This window comes from Homo sapiens, chromosome 16 (genome assembly GCF_000001405.40).
Source record: "Homo sapiens chromosome 16, GRCh38.p14 Primary Assembly".
NCBI classification, from domain to species: Eukaryota; Metazoa; Chordata; class Mammalia; order Primates; family Hominidae; genus Homo; species Homo sapiens.
The window spans coordinates 33,491,374-33,511,924 of record NC_000016.10 but is presented as its reverse complement, the minus strand read 5'-3'; the positions used below and the strand labels follow the sequence as shown (position 1 = coordinate 33,511,924).

The following is a 20,551-nucleotide window of genomic DNA, read 5'->3' as shown; positions in this document are numbered from 1 at the left end:
TTTTTTAATCTGTTGATTTTATTTGAATCTTGTCTCTTTTTTCTTAGTTAGCCTGGTTAAAAGTTTGTCAATTTTGTTTAGCTTTCCAGAAAACCAACTTTTCATTTAATCTTGTGTGTTTCTTATTTCAATTTTATTTCTGCTACGATCTTAGTTATTTTCTTAATTTCGGTTTAGTTTGTTCTTACTTTACTAGTTCTTTAAGATGTATTGTTTATTTGAAGTTTTTCTTTTGTTTGGATGGTAGGCACTTATAGTGTAAATCTCTGCCTTTGTACTGTTTTCTGCGTAACAAGTTTTGGTATACTGTGTTTTCATTACCCTTTGTTTCATGAAATTTTTGAATTTCTGTCTTAGTATCTTCATTGACCCGCTAGTCATTTATTCAGGAGGGTAGTGTTTAACTTCCATGTGATTGTATTGTTTCCAAAATTACTCTTCTTACTGATACCTAGTTTTATTCCTTTGTAGTCAAAGAAGATGGCCAGGGAGACAGCAGCGTGGTCAGAGTGGTAGGAGCTGGCCATCGGTGAGAGCTGCTCCATGCCTGGCTGCTGGGTTCTAGAGCTTGTGGACCACTGGCTTGCCTCACTGTGGTTGGTGGTGGCGGTGACAGAGTGTGCAGCACGACCAGAGTGGTAGGACAGGGGCTATCCAGGGCTGCACCTTTTGCAGTGTGGGGTGGGTTGGGGGCGCTATGCAGGGTGTCATTGCCTGCATTAGGGGTACTGGTTGGTAGCACTGTACAGGGCTGCACTTCCCACGGCAGGGAGGGTGGGTTATGGGCACTTTCTGGGGCTGCAATGCCCATGGAGGAGGACACGTTAGGGCACTATAGGGTATACGCTACTGGTGGCATTGGGGGACGGAGGTGGGGGGCGCTATTGAGGGCAGGACTAGCCGTGGAGGGGGGACGAGTTCAGTGCTATCAGTGGCTGCACTGCTGACGGCGGTCAGGAGAGTTGGCATCCAAGGAAGGAGTGGTTCTCCTCTCCCTGACTCCACGTTCCAGAGGGCGACCCACTCTTGGTCATACTGGAGTGCAGCAGGCATGCAGCGTTTGCGTGGGAATCCTGAGCATGGCAGAGCCCCCACACCCACCGTGGTTCCTGGGCCTGTGCACTCTGGGTCTGTGCCTCAGAGGCTGCCAGGCACCCCTGGGGACACCACGGGGGACAGGGCCCTGTGCGTGGAGGCGTCTGGAACAGGAATTGGCACCTAGGTGCGGAGGGTTGGCTGGGTCTGAATTTTTCTGCTTCTCCTGCTCCCCGAGGAGTGCAGCCCCAGTGGGCCCAATGATTCCTGTGGAGTGGGGAGCTGGGTGCTGTGGTATCTCCAGCACCCACCCCAGACTCCAGTTCCGGGCCAGCTTGGACCAAAAGGAGAGGCTGGACTTTGGAGGGTGGGTGTGAGTGCCTTTGCTGAAACTGGCCCCTGCCACCCAGTGGCCAGCATGACAAGTTGAGGCTCTAACCCTTCCGCCCCTCACATCTTCCTCTAGGCTTTTCTGGCTTTGCCCGCCCAGCTGCTCCATGCCAGGAGGAGGAGGAGACACCTAGAGCCTGCGACACCATGGCTCGCCTCGCTGCAGGTGGGTGGCAGCAACGGAGACTGCAGTGCGCCGGAGCGGTAGGAGAGCGGCCGCGCTAGGAGGGCAGGCGGCTGCAGCCAGGGTTGGGGGTCAGGCTTGCAGTGATGGACGGGCTGCAGCAGTGGCCAGGTGGTAGGAGCCTTGTAGGGAGGACTGGTGCATTGGCAATGGGCCTGGCTTTGTCCTGCCCCTGCCATGGATCTGGCCCTGTACTGCCCTGCCTTGCCCTGTACCTGCCCTACTATTACCTGGACTGTCTCGGCCAAGTCCTGCTCTGGTCCCATCCTGACCCTGTCTTGGCCCTGTGATACCCTGTCCCTGCCCTGGTCTTGCCCTGACACTGGCCCTGCCCTGAACCTGTACTGGCCTGACCTTGGCTCTGGCCCTGGCTCTGGCCCTGCCCCTTGTCCTGACCCTTGTCCTGTCGTGGCACTGGCCCTGCCAATGGTCATGGTCCTGCTCCTGTTCTGGCCCTGACCTGGCCTTGGACATGTCCTGGCCCTGCTTTGGCCCATCCCTGCCCTGGCCCCACCATGGGCCTGCCTGTTCTGCCCTCTCCTGGCACTGACCTTGCCCTGTCATGGCCCAGTGGTGCCATTGCCCTGCCTTACCCAATGGTTGTGCCTTGGCCCCGCTTGGTGCTGGCCGCTCCCTGGACCTGCCCTGACCCTGCCTTGGCTTTTGCCCTGCCCTCACTATGGCCTGTCCCTGGCCCTAGCCCTGGTCCTGGCATATCCCTGGCCCTACCCTTATCCAGGCCCTGCCCCTGCTGCTGCCCTGGCCCTGGCCTGGAACCTGGTCCTGTCAAGGACCTGCCCTGACTCTGCCATGGCCCTGGCCCTGCTCTGCCTTGTTCCTGGCCCTGACCCAGACCCAGACCCTTTCCTGGCCCTGCACTGGCCTTTCCCTGGCCCTGAGCTGGCAGTGGTCTGCCCCTGGTCTTGCCATCACCCTGCCCTGCTGTGCTCTGGATGTGTCATCATGCTGCCCTGGCCCTACTCTGCCTTTGACCCTGCCCTGGCCTTACCTTGGCCCTCACCCTAGTCTTCGCTAGGCCCTGCTGCTATTTCCCTGCCCTACCCTGCCTTGGCTGTGCCCTGGCTCGATTCTGGCCCTGGACCCAGCCCTGCCCTGGATATGCTCTGACACTTCCTCAGCCTTGACACTAGCGTGGCTTTTTCTTGGCATCAGCCCTGCTCTCTCTGTGGACCGGCTCTTGTCCTGTCCTGCACTGGTCATACCATGCCCTGCCCTGCCCTGCCCTGACTCTGGCCTGGCTCAGCCCTGGCCCAGCCTTGGCCTTGGCATTGCCCCTGGTCTTGACATATTTCTTGCCCTGTCCCTACCCCAGCCTTGGCCCTGACCCTTACCTTGCTCTGGCCCTGCCCTTGCCCTAACGCAGCCCCTGACCCTGTCATGGCCCTGCCCTGGACCTGTCCTGGCCCTGGCCCTGGCCCTTCCCTGCTTGAGACCTTGTCCTGGTTCTCCCCTGGCCCTGACCCTGAAATGCCTGGCCCTACCCTGGCCTTGCACTGCTCTGGCCCTTGCTCTGACTCTGGTCCTGTCACTGGCCTAGCCCCAGCCCTGTTGCTGGTCTTACCATGGCCCAGACCCTGCCTTGGCCCTGCCCTGACACTATCCTGGACCCTGGCTGTGCCAAGATCCTGCACTGTCCTTGCCCTTGTTTTGCTCCTGCCCCAAACCTGGACCTGCCCAGGCCATGGCCATGGCCCTGGCCCTGGCCCTGCCCTGGCTGTTCCCTGGCCCTGCCCAGGTCTTGGCACTGGCCTGGCCCTGCCCTGCCTTGGCCCTATGCTTTCCTGGCCCTGCCTTCCGGCCCTGCCCCTGCCTTGGCCCTAGCCTGGCTTTGACCCTGCCCTGGCCCTACCTTGACCTTCACCCTAGCCTTACCTGGGCACTGTGTTGGACCTGGCCATAGCACAGACCTGCTTGTGGCCCTGGCCCTGCCATGGCCCTGTCCCAGATGCTAGCCCTGCCAGGTGCTTGTCCTGGCCCTGCTGTGGGCCTGGCTTTGTCCCTGGTTCTTAGATGAACCTGGCCCTGCCCTGCCCTTGCCCTTGCCCTGGCACTGGCCTTGGAAATGTCCGTGGTCCTAACCCTGGCCCTGCCCTGGAGCTGCCACTGTCTTGGCCCTGCCCTGGCTCTGGCCCTGCCCTGGACGTGGCCCTGCCACAGCCCCAGCCATAGACCTGCCCTGGTTGGTCGTGCCCTACCTTAACCCTGTGCTACCCTGGGCCTGCTCCACCCTGCCCTGGCCCTGCCCTCCCTTTGGCCCTGCCCTGACCCTGCCTTGGCTCTCACACTGGCCCTAGCACAGACCTGGTCCTATCTGTGGCCTTGGCCTGGCATTGACCCCTGCTCCTGACCCTGGTCCTGCCATGGCCCTTGCCCTGCCAATAACCCTGACAGCTCTGGCCCTGGCCCTGTCTTGGCCCTGGCCCTGAACTGGTGCTGCCCTGACCCTGGCCCTGAAGTGGATTTTCAGGTGTCTTGTCCCTGAGTTAACCTGGCCCGACCACAGCCTTGTCCCTCTCCTGGCTCTGTCCTGGTCTTGTGCTGACCCTGACCCAGAACTTGGCCCTGCCCCAGCCTTGTCCTAGACCTGGCCATAGCCCTGCCTCTGCCCTAGACCGGCACTGGCACTGGCATGGACCCTGGCCCTGGCCCTTCAATACTTAAGGCCATACACTGACCCAGCCCTGGTCCTGACCCTGTCCTAGCCCTAATTTGGCCTGGCTCTACCCTGGTATGCTATTCTGGCCCTAGCCCTGACCCTCTCCCTGTCCCTGTCCTGGCCCTAGCCCCGTTGCTGGTCCTGCCATGGCCCTTGTCCTGACATTGCCCTTTCCAGGTCCTGGCCCTGGCCCTGTCCCAGCCCTGCTCTGGCCCTGGTCTGAACCCTGGCCCTGCAATGGACCTGCCTTGGTACTGCCCAGACCCTGGCTCTGGCCCTACCTCTGCCCTGGCCATACCCTTGCCCTGGCCTGGACCCCGGTCCTCGTCCTTGTCCTGCCCCAGCCGTGGCACTGACCCTGCCCCACCTGTGCCCTGCCATGGCTGGCCCTGCCATTGCCCTGCCCTAGCCTGCCCTGCTTGTGCCCTAGATCTGCCCCGGCCTTTGCCCCATCTTGGTTCTAGCCTTGAAAACAAAAAAAAAAGGAAAAGAAACATTTTGTATTCTCTTTTAGAAAGGGTAGATGACTGGAAAAGTATTAATAATGAAAATAACCAAAAATTGGACTTATAAATTATAAACTATGTAATTATAAATATTAGTATTTGAAAATATATGCAGATCTACAATTCTTCATGTGGAATTACAAAATTCAACAGTTATGAATACCTAAACCTAAGTTTTGGAAAATCTGATCTATGCTGATGTAGGGGTATTTATAGTTTTTTTTTTTTTTTTTTTTTTTTTTTAAACAGAGTTTTTGCTCTTGCCCAGGCTGGAGTGCAATGGCATGATCTTGGCTCACTGCAACATCCAATTCTTGGTTTCAAGTAATTCTCTTGCCTCAGCCTCCCGTGTAGCTGGGATGACAGGCACCTGCCCACACCGAGCTAATTTTTTTTTTTTTTTGATACGGAGTCTTGCTCTGTCACCCAGGCTGGAGTGCAGTGGCTCAATCTTGGCTCACTGCAAGCTACACCTCCTGGGTTCACGCCATTCATTCTCCTGCCTCAGCCTCCCGAGTAGCTGGGACTACATGTGCCTGCCACCATGCCCAGCTAATTTTTTGTATTTTTAGTAGAGACAGAGTTTCACTGTGTTAGCCAGGATGGTCTCGATCTTCTGACCTTGTGATCCACCCACCTTAACCTCACCAAGTGCTAGGATTACAGGTGTGAGCCACTGCACCTGACCAGGGGTATTTATAGTCTTATTGATCCCAGTTCATGTGATTATTCATATGATTTGCCACTAGAGTTATTCCATAATAGGCAGAATATTTACCACATTACCTTTCTAAAATCTAAATATTTTTGGATTGTAATTTCAAAGAATCTGACTTGGAAATCTTATTTTGAAATCTGATCCTAAGGAATTCGGATAAGCTATTGGAAAATATCACAAATGACAAAAATTTTGCGTTAAGATAAAATTGTTGATAAATTTAAATCACTTTGCAGCCGAGCATGGTGGTTCACACCTGTAATCTCAGCACATTGGGAGGCCGAGGCGGGTGGATCATGAGGTCAAGAGATCGAGACAATCCTGGCCAACATGGTGAAACCCCATCTCTACTAAAAATACAAAAAATTAGCCGGGTGTGGTGCTGCGTGCCTGTAGTCCCAGCTACTGGAGAGGCTGAGGCAGGAGAATTGCTTGAACCCAGGAGGCAAAGGTTGCAGCAAGCTGAGATCGCACCACTGCACTCCAGCCTGGTGATAGACCGAGACTCCATCTCAAAAAAACAAAAAAAAAATTAAATTACTTTGTATACATAAAGTTCTAATTTTTTAAAAAATTGTAAAATATCCTATACGTTCATTAGTATTACTTATTTGTTTTTATCACTCCATCAATGTGAGGCATAAATAAAATTTGTTAAGTTAAAACTTTCGGTGTACTTTCATTCATTTATTTATTTATTTTGAGACAGTTTCGCTCTATCATCCAGGCTGGAGTATAGTGGCATGATCTCGGCTCACTGCAACCTCCGCCTCCAAGGCTCAAGTGATTCTCGTGCCTCAGCCTTCCAAGTAGCTGGGACTACAGGCATGCACCACCATGCCTGGCTAATTTTTAAAAGTCCTATATCATATAAGAACATTAGAGTTCTGGGATTATTTTTTGTTTGTTTAAGAGACAGGGTCTCACTGTATTACGCAGGCTGGGGTGCAGTGATGTGATCATAGCTCACTGTAGCCTGGAACTCCTGAGCAAAGCAATTCTCCCTCCTCAGCCTCCCCAGTAGCTGGGACTACAGGTGCTTGCCACAATGCCCAGCTAGTTTTTAAATTTTCTGTAGATATAGGTCTCACTGTGTTGCCTAGTCTGGTTTCAAACTCCTGGCCTCAAGGGATCCTCCCCACTTGGCTTCCCAAAGTGCTAGGATTACAGGTGTAAGTGACCATGCCGGGACAAGAACATGAGACTTCTCTTACCATTTTTTTATATCTAAGTGGAATAGCATAGTATTATGTGTCAGTGTTGAATTATTTTAAAATATTATGCACTGAAACATGGTAATAATCTGGGTCAGTTTCTATCTTGACCTAGGTTTAAACATATTAGCTAACATGAGGGGCCCAAAATTAATAATGATTCCATACCATCTCCTTGTTTATTTATTCATTGAGACAGAGTTTTGATCTCTCACAAAGGTTGGAGTGCAGTAGCACCATCTTGGCTCACTACAACCTCCACCTCCTGTGTTCAAGTGATTCTCCTGCCTTAGCCTCCTGAGTAGCTAGGATTACGCCCACCACCACAACCAGCTAACTTTTGTATTTTTAGTACAGATAAAGTTTCACCAGGTTGGCCAGGTTGGTCTTGAACTCCTGATCTCAAGTGATCCGCGGCCTTGGCCTCCCAAAGTGTTGTCATTATAGGCGTGAGCCACTGCCTCCAGCCACCATCTCCTTTCATTAAAAATATGTGAGCTGAAAATAATTTGAGGGCAGTTATTTTCATATAGTCATTTTATCAAACGGATTATATTAATGACTAGTATTAATATTTATTTTATCTAAAATTATGTCTGATTTTTCTAAATTCTCTGACTTGCTAATAATGTTAAACATTAGGTTTAATACATATAATTAGGTCTGTGTGGATGCACTATGTAAATAAAATTGTTTTTAACATTTTGTAAGGTCTGCTGCTTTACAAGTCTTATTATCTTTGCTCCATTTTTGATACCAAAATTTTAACTGTGATAATTAGGCTGGAGATAGCAAATCAAGGGTATGTTTATATAATCACTCTCAAGGATCTCAAGGGTCATTTTCTGGTTACATTATGAAAATTGTAAAAGGAATCAAGTATATATTCCAGATAATAGCTCTTGATAAATCATATACATCTATATAATAGCTATAGATATAGTTTAAGATTTAGATCTAGATATATTCAGCAACTTTGTAATTTATCAAAAGGTTTTGGTTAAAATGTAAGACATTCCTCAATATAGAATTAGTTCTAAAAATTTGTTGCAATGAAGAATGTTAACAACTTACCTTCCTGTTTTCTCTGAATATGAAACAATTCAAGATAGACATAGAAATAAAGCATAATGAACTTTGGGAGGCCGAGGCAGGTGGATCATGAGCTCAGGAGATCGAGACCATTCTGGCTAACACGGTGAAACCCCGTCTCTAATAAAAATATACAAAATTAGCTGGGCGTGGTGGTGGGCGCCTGTAGTCCCAGCTACTTCGGAGGCTGAGGCAGGAGAATGGCGTGAACCAGGTAGGCGGAGCTCGCAGTGAGCCGAGATTGCACCATGGCACTCCAGCCTGGGCTACAGAGCCAGACTCCATCTCAAAACAACAACAACAACAAAAAAAAAAAACAGAAGTAAAGCATAATGAAATAAACATGTGAGCTCTGTAGCTCATGGTGTTGTTGGCGTGGTGCTTAGCAACAGGGATTTTCCTACACTACACTCCAGTACAGGGCACAGAGCAGAAACTTTATTGCTAAATTTACCGCATAGCAGAGGCAGAACAGAATTCATTTTCACTGCAGGCTGGGACATCCTAAAGACAAAAAACATGGAATGGGTGATATGAGCTACCCTAGTTTATTTCTTTCTTCCAATATCTCCAGTCACCTCCACTATTGATCTAGTGAAAACAGGCGCAGGAACAGTGCTCTAAACGACATTCGATGTCCTTCAATATCTTTGTCAGTCTGAATTCAAAGGAAATATTTTAACTCAAGTAAAAAGAAGACTACAAAAGAAAGATAACCCATATGGGGATAGCAGACTTTTTTGTTTTTGTTGTTGTTTTAAAATCTCTTGTTTTTGGCCACAGGCACTCTGAGCTAGAAGAAAATATTTAGGAGAAGGATGAGAAATCCTTCTGTGTTGAATAAGGGAATTACTTCCAGATGGCAATGGTGTAAATCTACTATGATAACAACTATATATATATATATATATATATATATATATATATATATATATATAATGAAATATGTTTATAGAAAATGTCTGGAATCTTTTTACAGTCTAGAGTCCTTCTCAATGGCCTTAATTTGCAAAAATAGCCTCAAATTATTTTATTTAATTAAAAACTGCAAGAGATTAACATTTTCTCCTCATAAGGTCCAGTCAAGTATTTTTCTTTTGAATGAAGAAAAAAAATACATTGCCTGTAAAAAATTAATTCTTTGACTTAGTAGTTAGCAGTGAACAGTTGATATGGTTTGGATGTTTTATCCCCTCCAAATCTCATATTAAAATGTGACCTGTATTGTTGGATGTGAGGCCTAGTGGGAGGTATTAGGTCATGGGGGCAAATCCCTCATGAATGGTTTGGTTCCCTCCCTTGGGTAATAAGTGGTAAAGAGTTTACAGGAGATCTAGTTGTTTAAGAGTGTGGCACCTTCCCTCTCTCTCTCTTGCTCCCTCTCTTGCCCTATGACATGCTGGCTCCCCTTCAAATTCTGCCATGATTGTAATCTTCCTGAGGCCCTCACCACAAGCAGATGCTGACACTATGCATTGTGTACAATCTGCAGAACCAAGGGCCAAATAAATCTATTTTCTTTATAAATGACCCAGTCTTAGTTATTTGTTTTACAACAACACAAACACACTAACACACTGGTGAAAATCAACTTAAATACTTAAATACAGATAATATAAATTTAAAATGCAATCTAAGAGTTGTAAAATTTATATTTCCCCTTCAAAAATTAGCATTCTAAATTATCTCCTTACTATTTGTTTTGCTTTATACACTTCCAACTTCCTATGCTCAAGTTTTCAGAAGACATTGAAGAACATCACATCATTAGAGAGAAGAAAAGGAAAAATTGGCTACAAAAATTAACCATACAGTGTATTGAATTAATAGAGTTTTGCTGAACAATTTTTGTTAATGGAGTTTATATTTTTAGGTATAAATATTTTTCTACATGATATATTTAGACAAAGTTTTTTTTTTTAAATATAGGATATTTGCAGCAAACGGTCCAAAGGATCCCAATTATTAAACAAAACACAAATATAAATTGATTACAGTATATCAAATATGCCTTAATAATTAGGTAGCTATAAAAAGTAGAGTTACAAGATTGAGAGGTACTTTGTCTTCTGTGAAGGCTTTAAAAACATGAAGCTACATTTCCCACCATCAAAGATTTATGTGTAAGAGATTTGTCTTCATTTTGTTTTAATTAGATGAAACGATTTGCCCATGGGGCATCTAAACTCAGAATGAGTTTGACATCACAACACAGTTTATATTCTCTCAGGAAAAATGAAAGGAAACTAAAGGATTTTATTTTTCAGACATCAAATCACAAAACAAAACAGTCCAATTTTCTTTGGGTTCTCAGTTGTACATTTATGTCTTCAGGGTTTTAAAAAACCACACCGTTTTGCATGCTTAAAAATAAAAGATTCGGTTCAAGAGTTCATCTTTGTAACATCTTTTCAATTTTTCTTTAAATCTCTAGGTCTAAAACTTTGCTAAATAAAAAATATTTAGCGAGAAACAAGTTTACATGTGTTGCTTGCTGAAAGAAACTGCTAAAGGGAATGCATTAAGATATGGAACACAATTATGCAAAGTAAATACTCAGTTGAACATGCCAGATGTTTCCTAAATTTAAATTGTTAAATGGCCATCGTGGAAGAATCATTTTAGTTTTAAATTCTGTAATAAGCAAAATAACTTTCTTACATAGAAACATTTGTTCCTTTGTGTATGAACCAAATCAAATATCATATAAAAATTATACATAAGATATGAATCTGAATCATATATAATGTAGCTTATCCAAACATATTTTAGATGAAACTGTCAGTATTTTTTATATTATCAACATAGAACTGTTTTAAGATAAATCATTTATTCATTTTTCATCTCAATCAATATTTTTATAAGAGATGACATAAGTTAGATGATTCAGCTAATCTACACTGAAAGCAGTGGATAAGTCAATTACAATTTTTGCTCAAATATGGAAAAAATCTGACTGATTATAATCAAAATCATTAACTGTCATTTACTTTTCCTGAAAGCTCTTTATTTAATATAAAATCTAGACATAAAGAAACTAATTTATCCTCTTAAGTGCTATAAACATTTTCTCTCATTTCATTTTTTTTTTAGTTGTCAATTTTGATAGTGTTCAACTAGAAGTCACGAATAGGCAATCCACTAACATAGGTTCACAGTTCTCATATATTTTTGAAACATTGAAATCAACCTGTCCCCAACTCCACTCCAGAGGCTAATGTCAAAATACCTGCTGAAAGCAATGCCAAGCCAATATCTCTGAAATATAAAGTTGGCTATTATAATTCTCTTCATGATTATATTTTTATGTATATATGAGAGACAGAGCAAACATTATACATGAAAAATAATACATTTTACTTAAAAACATGTTAAGGTCTCTTGGGTGTGGTGGCTCATGCCTGTAATCCCAGCACTTTGGGAGGCCGAGGCAGATGGATCACGAGGTCAGGAGATCGAGACCATCCTGGCTAATATGGTGAAACCCTGTCTCTACTAAAAACACAAAAAAATTAGCCGAGAATGGTGGTGGACGCCTGTAGTCCCAGCTACTTGGGAGACTGAGGCAGGAGAATGGCATGAACCCAGGAGGCAGAGCTTGCAGTGAGCCGAGATCGTGCCACTGCACTCCAGCCTGGGCGACAGAGTGAGATGCCATCTCAAAACAAGCAAACAAATAAAACATGTTAAGGTCTATAAGGTCTACAACTTAGTCATTTCTTAACTATACGACCTTGGGTGGGCCACTTACTTAGTTTCTCATTACTTTGGTTTTCTTTCTTGAAAAGTGAAGAATTGTTTTCTTCACAGTTATAATTGTTTTCTGAAAATGTAAAACACTAGAAACATTGCCTGGCATTGAGTAAATTATTAGTTTTTATTATTAGTACTGATTCATATTTTTCCTACTTAAAATTAGATAATGACTCCTCATATTCTGCATGATTTTATAGGATATAAGTTTAAATACAAATCAAGACATATTTGAAATAATGTTCTATACATTCAACCTCAGATTTATTCGATGAAACCCCACATTTCTATTTGATAGCGTAGGTGACATCCACATCCTATTTTGCCTCATTATTGAACAGTGTCTTACCTAATTTTCTAGATGTCATAATTTATTTACTCTTGTCTCGTTTTCATGATGGTGTGTATACTGCATATTTTGAGACATAGTACATTTAATTGAGTTATTTTCTTGCTCAAAAAGAAAACTAGTTCCACCTCCATTGAATCTTCAGTTTAAACTTAGAATTTAAAATAAAAAAAACTGTTCTATGGCAATGATCATAAACTAGCAAATTGGTATCTCATGGGTTGGATTAAGGCTGGCTGACAGAATGACCTTGAAGGGCCATGTGTGTGCATGTTTACTCACCTTAAAATAAAAGAATTTTCTGTATGGGTTTATTTTACTAAGATTAGTGAGCCTTTTAAAAGAGTCAGGTGCTTCTGATAAATCATATATGTCCCTGCCCAGTCTCTCTGTACTCACAAATCAGTCTGAGTGATGTAATATCATTTGAAGGTAGACTGTGATAAGTTAAAGCTGCATATTATGAACTATGAAGTAACTACAAAAATAAAAAGAGTTACACCTAAAACCTAATAAAGAAAAAAAAGATCATAAAAATCAACATAAAGCAGAAAAAAAAATGCATCAGAAAAGCATATGATAAAATAGAAAATAGTGAGATGTTAGATTTAAAACCAACAATACAATAATTATTTTGGAAGAGTAGATGAAATATAAATTTGAGGCTACCAATTTTAAGTGGATTTTGAGGACAGTCACTGTATTCTTAAGAAAGTTCTATTAATTTTGCAAATACTTTGAGGGGTATAAAAATAGAGATATAATAAATTGTACACTAAAGACAATAAGTGATGATTAAGTACTTTAATTTATCACAGATGCTACGTATTTCCGAAATCCAGTAGAAATGTAATCAATTTGTTTGACAGAACTTCAGTCTTTCTATTAACAAGTCTTTCAGATCAAAATTAAAGAAAATCATATTGTATACTTGAGCGATGTCCTTTATAGAGTCTTCATCCTCAGTCATAGGCTCAATTGCATGTGTCTGGTAAGAATTATAAATAATAGGACAGTTATTTCAGTTAATATGTTCTGTTAATCTATTTCAATTCAGAAAAAAACACCTATTTAGTTTTAGGATCTAATATATGTGAACAAATTTGGGAGGATTTCTTTAATAATCTATATGCATTCTTTGTTTTACATTCTTTCAAGCAAACATATGACATGGACAAATATGTGCAAACACAAAATCACTGCAGTATATTAGAGTGGAAATGCAATGGCAGCATTCTTTTTCAGTAAGTTCAGTAAAATATTTGAGTCATGCTGAGTACAAAATACTTTGTTAAGGCTAATTAGGTTGCAGATTATAAAATGTATTGGTAATAAATAGTACCAATAAATTAGACTCACCTTTCTCAAAAGAAAGTGACTAATAATATTTTGTTGCTGAGTTAAACAGAATAAATGTCTAAGAACTTAGCCAGAAGGCTGAGATTTTAATTAGTTATTAAGGTGTTCAGGTTAATGTAAATCAGATTTGCCTTTCTAGATAAAGAATACAGATTGACAGTGGCATTAACATTGTCATTAAATCTTAAATAAACACTAATTTCCCAGTGCTTGCAAGAATCTGACCTGGAAAAAGATGAAAAAAAGGAGATACTATAGAGTTTTTTGTTAATTATCAAGCTTTTCCTTTGTGTTTTGTTTATCAGATATATAACGTTTGAAACTGAAGCTGATAATCAAATGAAATAGTTTTTAAAAACTACTTGTTGGAGTCAAATGACTACTCTTGGCTTTTCTTTCTTTTTTTCCATTTCCATTTATAATAGCCAAAAAAAGTTTCTTGTCACTGTTTCTAAATAACACCATGACCTCCTGCTCACAAATTAAAATGTATTGCAATTCTCTAAATAAGAACAATCTACCCTTTCTAAAATTTCAAATTAAATGTGCTTTATTTTTAGTATAGTGACCTACCCTGCATGTATAAATTAAATGTAAGAAACATTTTATGTTTAGTAGGCTTGAAAATGAGACTATTTTTCCCTTATTTTTTCTCCTTAAAACTTATTAATTCCTTTTTATATTCTAGATCTATAAATACTAAAATATTCTATCTATTAACTGCTCTAATCTTTATGTAACAGTGTAGGTTCTACCCATGTAACAGATGAGGAAACCAAGGAGCACAGTTATTTACTAACTCGCACAAGGCAAGTTTCAAAATTGTCTTTGAAAATAATGATTGCTTTTAAGGTTTATTCTATAATGGTTTAAGATCATGGGTTACAGAAGTAGAACAACAGTGTCTAATTACTAGTTCTAATAATTCTTATCGGATTTGTTGAGATTTTATACACATACATGTTTGTTTTTGTGTATAAGTATATATGTAACAATGTATTACACATATGAATTAACTGTTTAATATGTGTGAACTATTATATTCATTACTTGGCATTAATGTTTAGGTTGTTTCGATTTTACCCTCAAAATGTAATGACTTTTTGAGAGCCTATATCAAATTATTGGAAATACAAATGTATTTTTAAAGGGATTAGGGATTCTTAGTATTTGAATATGAATTGTGAAGATTAGTATTGAAAAAACTCTTGGTAACTTAGCAGGAGTAGCTGCAAAGGTGTTCCTTCTTTTCCTAAATGAATTATAAAGTATAAGAGTATTAAAGTCTACTTGTTTTTACTGCTAAATATATATATATATATGTAGAATTTGAAGCTTTAGTTCATCTAACTACGATTCCTCTCTCAGAGCCTTTCCTGAGGAAATTTTTTTTTTGGTGGAGAGACTGAGAACACGAGGTGCACAGTGACCAGCTAAAGGGAGAATGAGGCAGTTCCAAAATGAATTATAAAGTATACGAGTATTAAAGTCTACTTGTTTTTTATTGCTAAAGTTGTGTATATGTGTGTGTATATATATATATATATATATATATATGTATGAAAATGTAGAATTTGAAGCTTTGGTTCATCTAACTGTGATTCCTCTACCAGAGCCTTTCCTGAGGAAATTTCTTACCCTGGGCCATCTGTCCTGTGTGTCTGTCCTCCTTGTGATCAGTTATTTGCACAGTGGCTCTGACCTGGCAGCCCACCTCTGGGTCCCCACTCCCCCAGAACTTCCCAGTCTGCCTTCTCCTGCCAGACACCCTGAGGCAGCTGTGTCCCCCAGACATAGCCTGGATGGGTATGCACCTGTCCCCACCACCGTCTGTCACCTCTGCTCCACACCTGACCAGTGGCCAGCACCACACTGGGGTTGACTGCCTTCACCGTGTCCATGCCTGCTCCGGCAGTGGGAGCTCAGTGCCAGGCTGTGGGGGGCATCTTGGAAAGCAGAGGTGTCCCTGCAGGATCTCTATGAGACTGTGTTGTCGGTGGCCGCGCTGGTTTCCCCGGAGTAGCGCCCGATGTCACTGCCGAGACCTTAACGGAAGGTGCGCGTCCAGTCCTCGCACTGCTGTGTGTTCTGGTCAGAATGGAAGTGGTGGCCTCCACTAGGAGCTTCTGTGCTTTGGGAGAATTTGTCCAAACCGTGGTCCCGTTTGTTCTCCAATCCTGTGTAGACACCATGACCCAGTTGTGTAAACACAGGCCCCTTGCAGCTCAGAGGCTGCCCTCTGAGAGTCACCGTCGTGTCGCTTTGGGGAAAAGATGAGCCCGCCCGGTTCCTCTCTGTGCACCTCATGCCTGGGGCTCCGTCCCGTCCTGGGTGGGTTTTCACCTGCACCGCTGGCCCCTCCCCCGGGAGCGTTGGTGGAGCCGGCTTTCTCAGCCAGGAGCCTGTTGCGGGGTCAGCGGCTGGAGCTCAAGGTCGGCTCAGGGGACTTTCTCGTGCTGGAGGTTGGCTGCGGAGCAGCCTGCATTTCTCGGAAAACAGGGCCCAGGGCCTGCTCCACGCCGCTGTCCACGTCTTCACCATCCCCTCGTTGCAGGTTCGAGGCCGAGCTCAGACCTGTGGAGCAGAAGCTGAGTGCGCTGCAGTCCCCGCTGGCCCAGAGGCCCTTCTTCGAGGTGCCCTCACCCCTGGGCGCCGTGGACCTGTACGAGTATGCATGCGGGGATGAGGACCTGGAGCCACTGTGACGCCACCCATGAGAACGCCGCTGCGGGGCCGCTCCACACGTGCCACGGCCACCACTGGGACACCGCCGCTTGTGTAAAAACTGTTGTCTTTTGTGGAAAATGAGTGTGTTTGCATGGAATGATAAATTTTTATTTATTCACAGAAGCGTGTTGATTGCCGCTGTGGGTTCGTGGCTGGACCTGCCTAGAGCTCTGTGCCCGGGGGACATGTAGGGCCGCTCGTGAACAGGACAGGTTCTGACACTGTTCTGACTGACACCCTCCGGCACTTGCCATTCCCGACTTGACTCGGCCTCAGTTCCAGGGCCTGCATCTTTCTGGAAAGGGTCTGTGTAGGCACAAGGGTGACCGGCGGCTCCCGGGCGCCTTGCCAGTCCTAGACAGGAGCCTCCGCCATGGCCTGTATGAATGTTTTGTGTAAATGTACAAAAGCGTTTCTGGCGATCACACTTGTATTTTTGAATGAATGTTTGGAGGATTTTTCAGTCACGGGCTTGGCTCCCTCAGCCACAGCATGGCTCCTTTCAGAATTTACAAACGTCGGCGCTGGAGGGGGACCGCGGCCACGCCAGATGCATCGGGATACAGTCTGGGCCTCTCTGCGGGGCCTCCTCCCCAGCCAGGGGTCCCCACCCTTGGGCTGTTCCCTCCCAGAGCCATGGACCCAGGCCACATTCCACAAACGACCCCAGAAGGAAGGAGCCCTCGCCAGAGTGGGGACGTCCACACCTGGGAGCCACGTGCAGCGACACCTAAATGAGGGGGTTCGGAGGCCCCGCCAGGAGGAGCCCTGTGTGCAGGGGAGGCCACGAGCCCCCAGGTCCCCCAGGGGCACCCGACATGGATAAGCCCAGGCCCAGCTCTGTTCCCTCTGCAAGCAGGGGAGGGTCACAGGTGGTGACCATGGGAATGACCCCGTCCTCACACAAGACAAAATGCTCCCCCAGGAAAGGGAGGTGGCAGCATCTACAGGGCAGGGCACAGGCGGGCAGGGCGGCCCTGGGCACTTGGTGGGGAGGGCAGGGCCGGGCCGGGCCGGGACCACCCCAAGAGCAGCACACACGCCCCGTTAATCTACTGGCAGCTGTGGCTGTGAAGGAGGTGGATGCACAGGGTGGTCCCATGACCCCTGAGGAGAGACGGTGCGGGCTCCAGGCAGTGGGTAGACTGGCCGCACCTCCCAGGGAAATGGCTGCTGCCCCCAAGGTGTCCTCTGTCACCAGGTGCTCCCCTGAATTCCCGGATGCCCCCACCTGGGTCTGCGAAGGGTCAGGGTCCCCAACAACAGGACAGGTGCAGGGCCGGAGAGTCTGACTGTGGCTGCTGCAGGGAAGTGACACTGGGAGCCACAGCCTGCAGGCCCCACCCTGCCCCAAGCTCCGGGGAGCCCATCTGGGAGAGCATGTCTGCCCCACACCACCTCAGGACACCCCTCACACACACCTATGAGCTGGAGCCCATGGTCATGGGAGTGAGGGGCCAGAAGTGAGGGGTTCACCTCTGACTGGGACCCTCAGCTTCCCACACTGACACTAGGAGCCCCCCAATTAGGGTTCAAGGCTGAGACATCAGAAGCCTCCCTGGGGCTGTGAAACGAAAGACAGCGTCCCCCACCCACATCCCTGGTGAGGCTCCTGCACAGCCTGAGTGTCCTCCGACATCCCCATACCCACTGCATTCCCCAAGCACCCCGTCCTTCCCTAGCCACGGCCCCAGATGCTCTGGGCTGTGCCAGGGCCGGGCATGCACACCCACACCTTTGCTGGAGAAGTGGGGGGTCCTCGTGGACGGCAGCACTGCGGTGAGACCCAGAGCCCAGCGGTCCTGCCCTCCACGAGTTCTGGGGGTCCATTTCCCTGAGAGCTCACGTGTGAGGTGGGCCAGGGACCCCACAAGAAAAGCACCTGCATCACCCTCACCGTGGCCAGCGTCCAGCATCCTGCTAGGACAGAAGCCAGGGTGTTCCAGGCAGAGGCGCCTCTGGCATCCCCACCTCACCCTCTGTGAATGACAATCTTGGGTCCCTGGCATTTCGTGGCCATCACCCCTTGGCGATCCCCATGCAGGGACCCAGCCCACCCCACCCCTCCCTCACATGGTCCCTTCATGTCAGACCCAAGAGTGTTCACGGGGGCAGCCCCAGGTTCACCCAGAAGCAGCAGGAGCTCTGTTGCAGGATGACCATGAAAGGTGACAGCCACTCCACAGCAACGATGCCAGCCATGGCCCTGAGGTCCCCGGGCACCTCCTTGTGGGACAGGACACAGCTCCTCAAGGTGCAGCAGGGGTGACGGGCACCACAGGCTCCCAGCACTGGCACCAGACCGGCATCCAGAGCGCTGTCCTGAGGGGCGGCAGGGATGGGCATGGCAAGACGGGCTTCCCAGAATGAGGGGACCCAGCCTGGGTGGGGGATGGGGCTTGGACAGCCATGAGACGGGAGACACAGAGGAGATGGAGAAGGGGGAAATGGGGGAGAACTGGGGGGCATCAGATACAGGAATGAGGCAGAGCCGGACCCAGCCATGGCTTGCAGCCCTGAGGTCCCGGGGCACCTCCTCGTGGGACAGGACACAGCTCCTCAAGGTGGAGCAGGGGTGACGGGCACCACAGGCTCCCAGCACTGGCACCAGACCGGCACCCAGAGCCCTGCCCAGAACAAGGGGGGACCGAGCCTGCGGAGGGATGGAGCCTAGACAGCCATGACATGGAGAAGGGGGAGTTGGAGGAAATGGAGACGGGCAAGACGGAGGGGACGGGGGAGATGGAGGAGATGGAGGAGAAGGGGGAGATAGAGAATGGGGGAGTTGGGGAAGAACTGGTGGGCATCAGATGCAGGAATGAGGCAGACCGGACCCAGCCATGCCCAGCAGTTCCTAGAGGAGACACGGCTCCCAGGTGGGACTGGGAGGCCTTTATGACTCAGAGCCAGGGAAGGAACAGAGGCTGGAGGTCGTCACCAGCACAATGCCCACTGGCCGCCTTGCTCAGGCCAAGGGGTTGGACCCCACATGGCACAGGAGCCCCATCTGCTGCAACCCTAAGATGCACATCCTGTGGCTGAAAGAGATGCGGCCCCTGGGGCGGCGCAGACCCCACGTGGCACAAACGACCCGGCTGAGTTTAAAGCCTGCAGACAAGACCACTCACGCAGCAACACACTGCTGTGTGGCTACAGGAGGGGCCTCGAACCATGTTCCCCATGACCCACAGGCAGACCCTGGGAGGGCAGGGATGCCCCCTGTCGCACCAACCTCTGTAGAAGTCACAGCCCCAGCCTCGGCTGCCGCACACGCCAAGCCAAGCCAAGCCAAACAAGCCAGCCAGCCAGCCAAGCCAGCTAGGCCGGCCCAGCCAGCCAAGCCAGCCAAGCCACCCAGCCGGCCAAGCCATCCAAGCCAGCCAACCAACCCAGCCAGGCAAGCCAGCCAAGCCACCCAGTCAAAGCCAGCCAGCCAGCCAAGCCAGATAAGCCAGCCAGCCAGCCAAGCCAGCCAAGCGACCCAGCCAGCCAAGCCACCCAGCCAAGCAAGCCAAGACAGCCAGCCAGCCAGACAAGCCAGCCAGCCAGCCAAGACAGCCAAGACAGCCAAGCCACACAGTCAGCCAAGCCAGCCAGCCAGGCAGCCAAGCCAGCCAGCCAAACCAGCCAGGCAGCCAAGCCGGCCAAGCCAGCCAAGCCAGCCAGCCAGGCAAGCCAGCCAAGCCAGCCAAGCCAGCCAGCAAAGCCACCCAAGCGAGCCAAGCCACCCAAGCCGCCAAGCCAGCCAAGCCACATAGCCAGCCAAGCCATCCAAGCCATCCAAGCCACCCAAGCCACCCAAGCCACGCAGCCAGCCAAGCCAGCCAAGCCACCCAGCCAGACAAGCCAGCCAGCCAACCAGCCAGCGAAGCCGGCCAGCCAGCCAAGCCACCCAGGCAGCCCAGCCAGCCAAGCCACAGAGCCACCCAAGCCAGCCAAGCCACCCAGCGAGCCAAGCCAGCCAAGCCAGCACAGCCGGCCAAGCCAGCCAAGCCATCCAAGCCAGACAAGCCACCCAGCCAGCCAAGCCAGCCAAGCCACCCAGCCAAAGCCAGCCAGGCAGTCAAGCCAGCCAGTCAGCCAAGACAGCCAAGCCAGCCAGGCAGCCAGCCAAGCCAGCCAGCCAGCCAAGCCAGCCAAGCCACACAGCCAGCCAAGCCAGCCAAGCCAGCTAGCCAGCCAAGCCTGCCAGCCAGCCAAGCCAGCCAAGCCACCCAGCCAAAGCCAGCCAGCCAGCCAAGCCAGCCAGACAGCCAGGCAAACCAAGCCACCCAGCCAGCCAGGCCAGCCAAGCCAGCCAAGCCACCCAGCCAGCCAAGGCAGCCAAGCCTCCCAGCCAAAGCCAGCCAGCAATCCAAGCCAGCCTAGCCAGCCAGCCAGCCATGCCAGCCAAGCCAGCCAGCCAGTCAAGCCAGCCAAGAAATCCAGCCGGCCAAGGCAGCCAAGCCACCCAGCCGGACAAGCTAGCCAAGTCAGCCAAGACACCCAGCCGGCCAAGCCAGCCAAGCCACCCAGCCCGCCAAGCCAGCCAAACCACCCAGCCAAAG

The 20,551-nt window shown here is 48.1% G+C and overlaps 1 pseudogene, besides 1 other annotated feature; it reads left to right on the top strand.

Moving 5' to 3' along the window:
• Positions 15,833-15,979, top strand: LOC647208 (protein phosphatase 2 regulatory subunit B''beta pseudogene; annotated as a pseudogene).
• Positions 20,229-20,523: a silencer, noted in NCBI's record as "tiled region #9819; K562 Repressive non-DNase unmatched - State 20:ReprD". NCBI's record gives its function as "represses a minimal TATA promoter and a strong SV40 promoter by Sharpr-MPRA in K562 cells {active_cell/tissue: K562}" and the evidence as "EXISTENCE:reporter gene assay evidence [ECO:0000049][PMID:27701403]".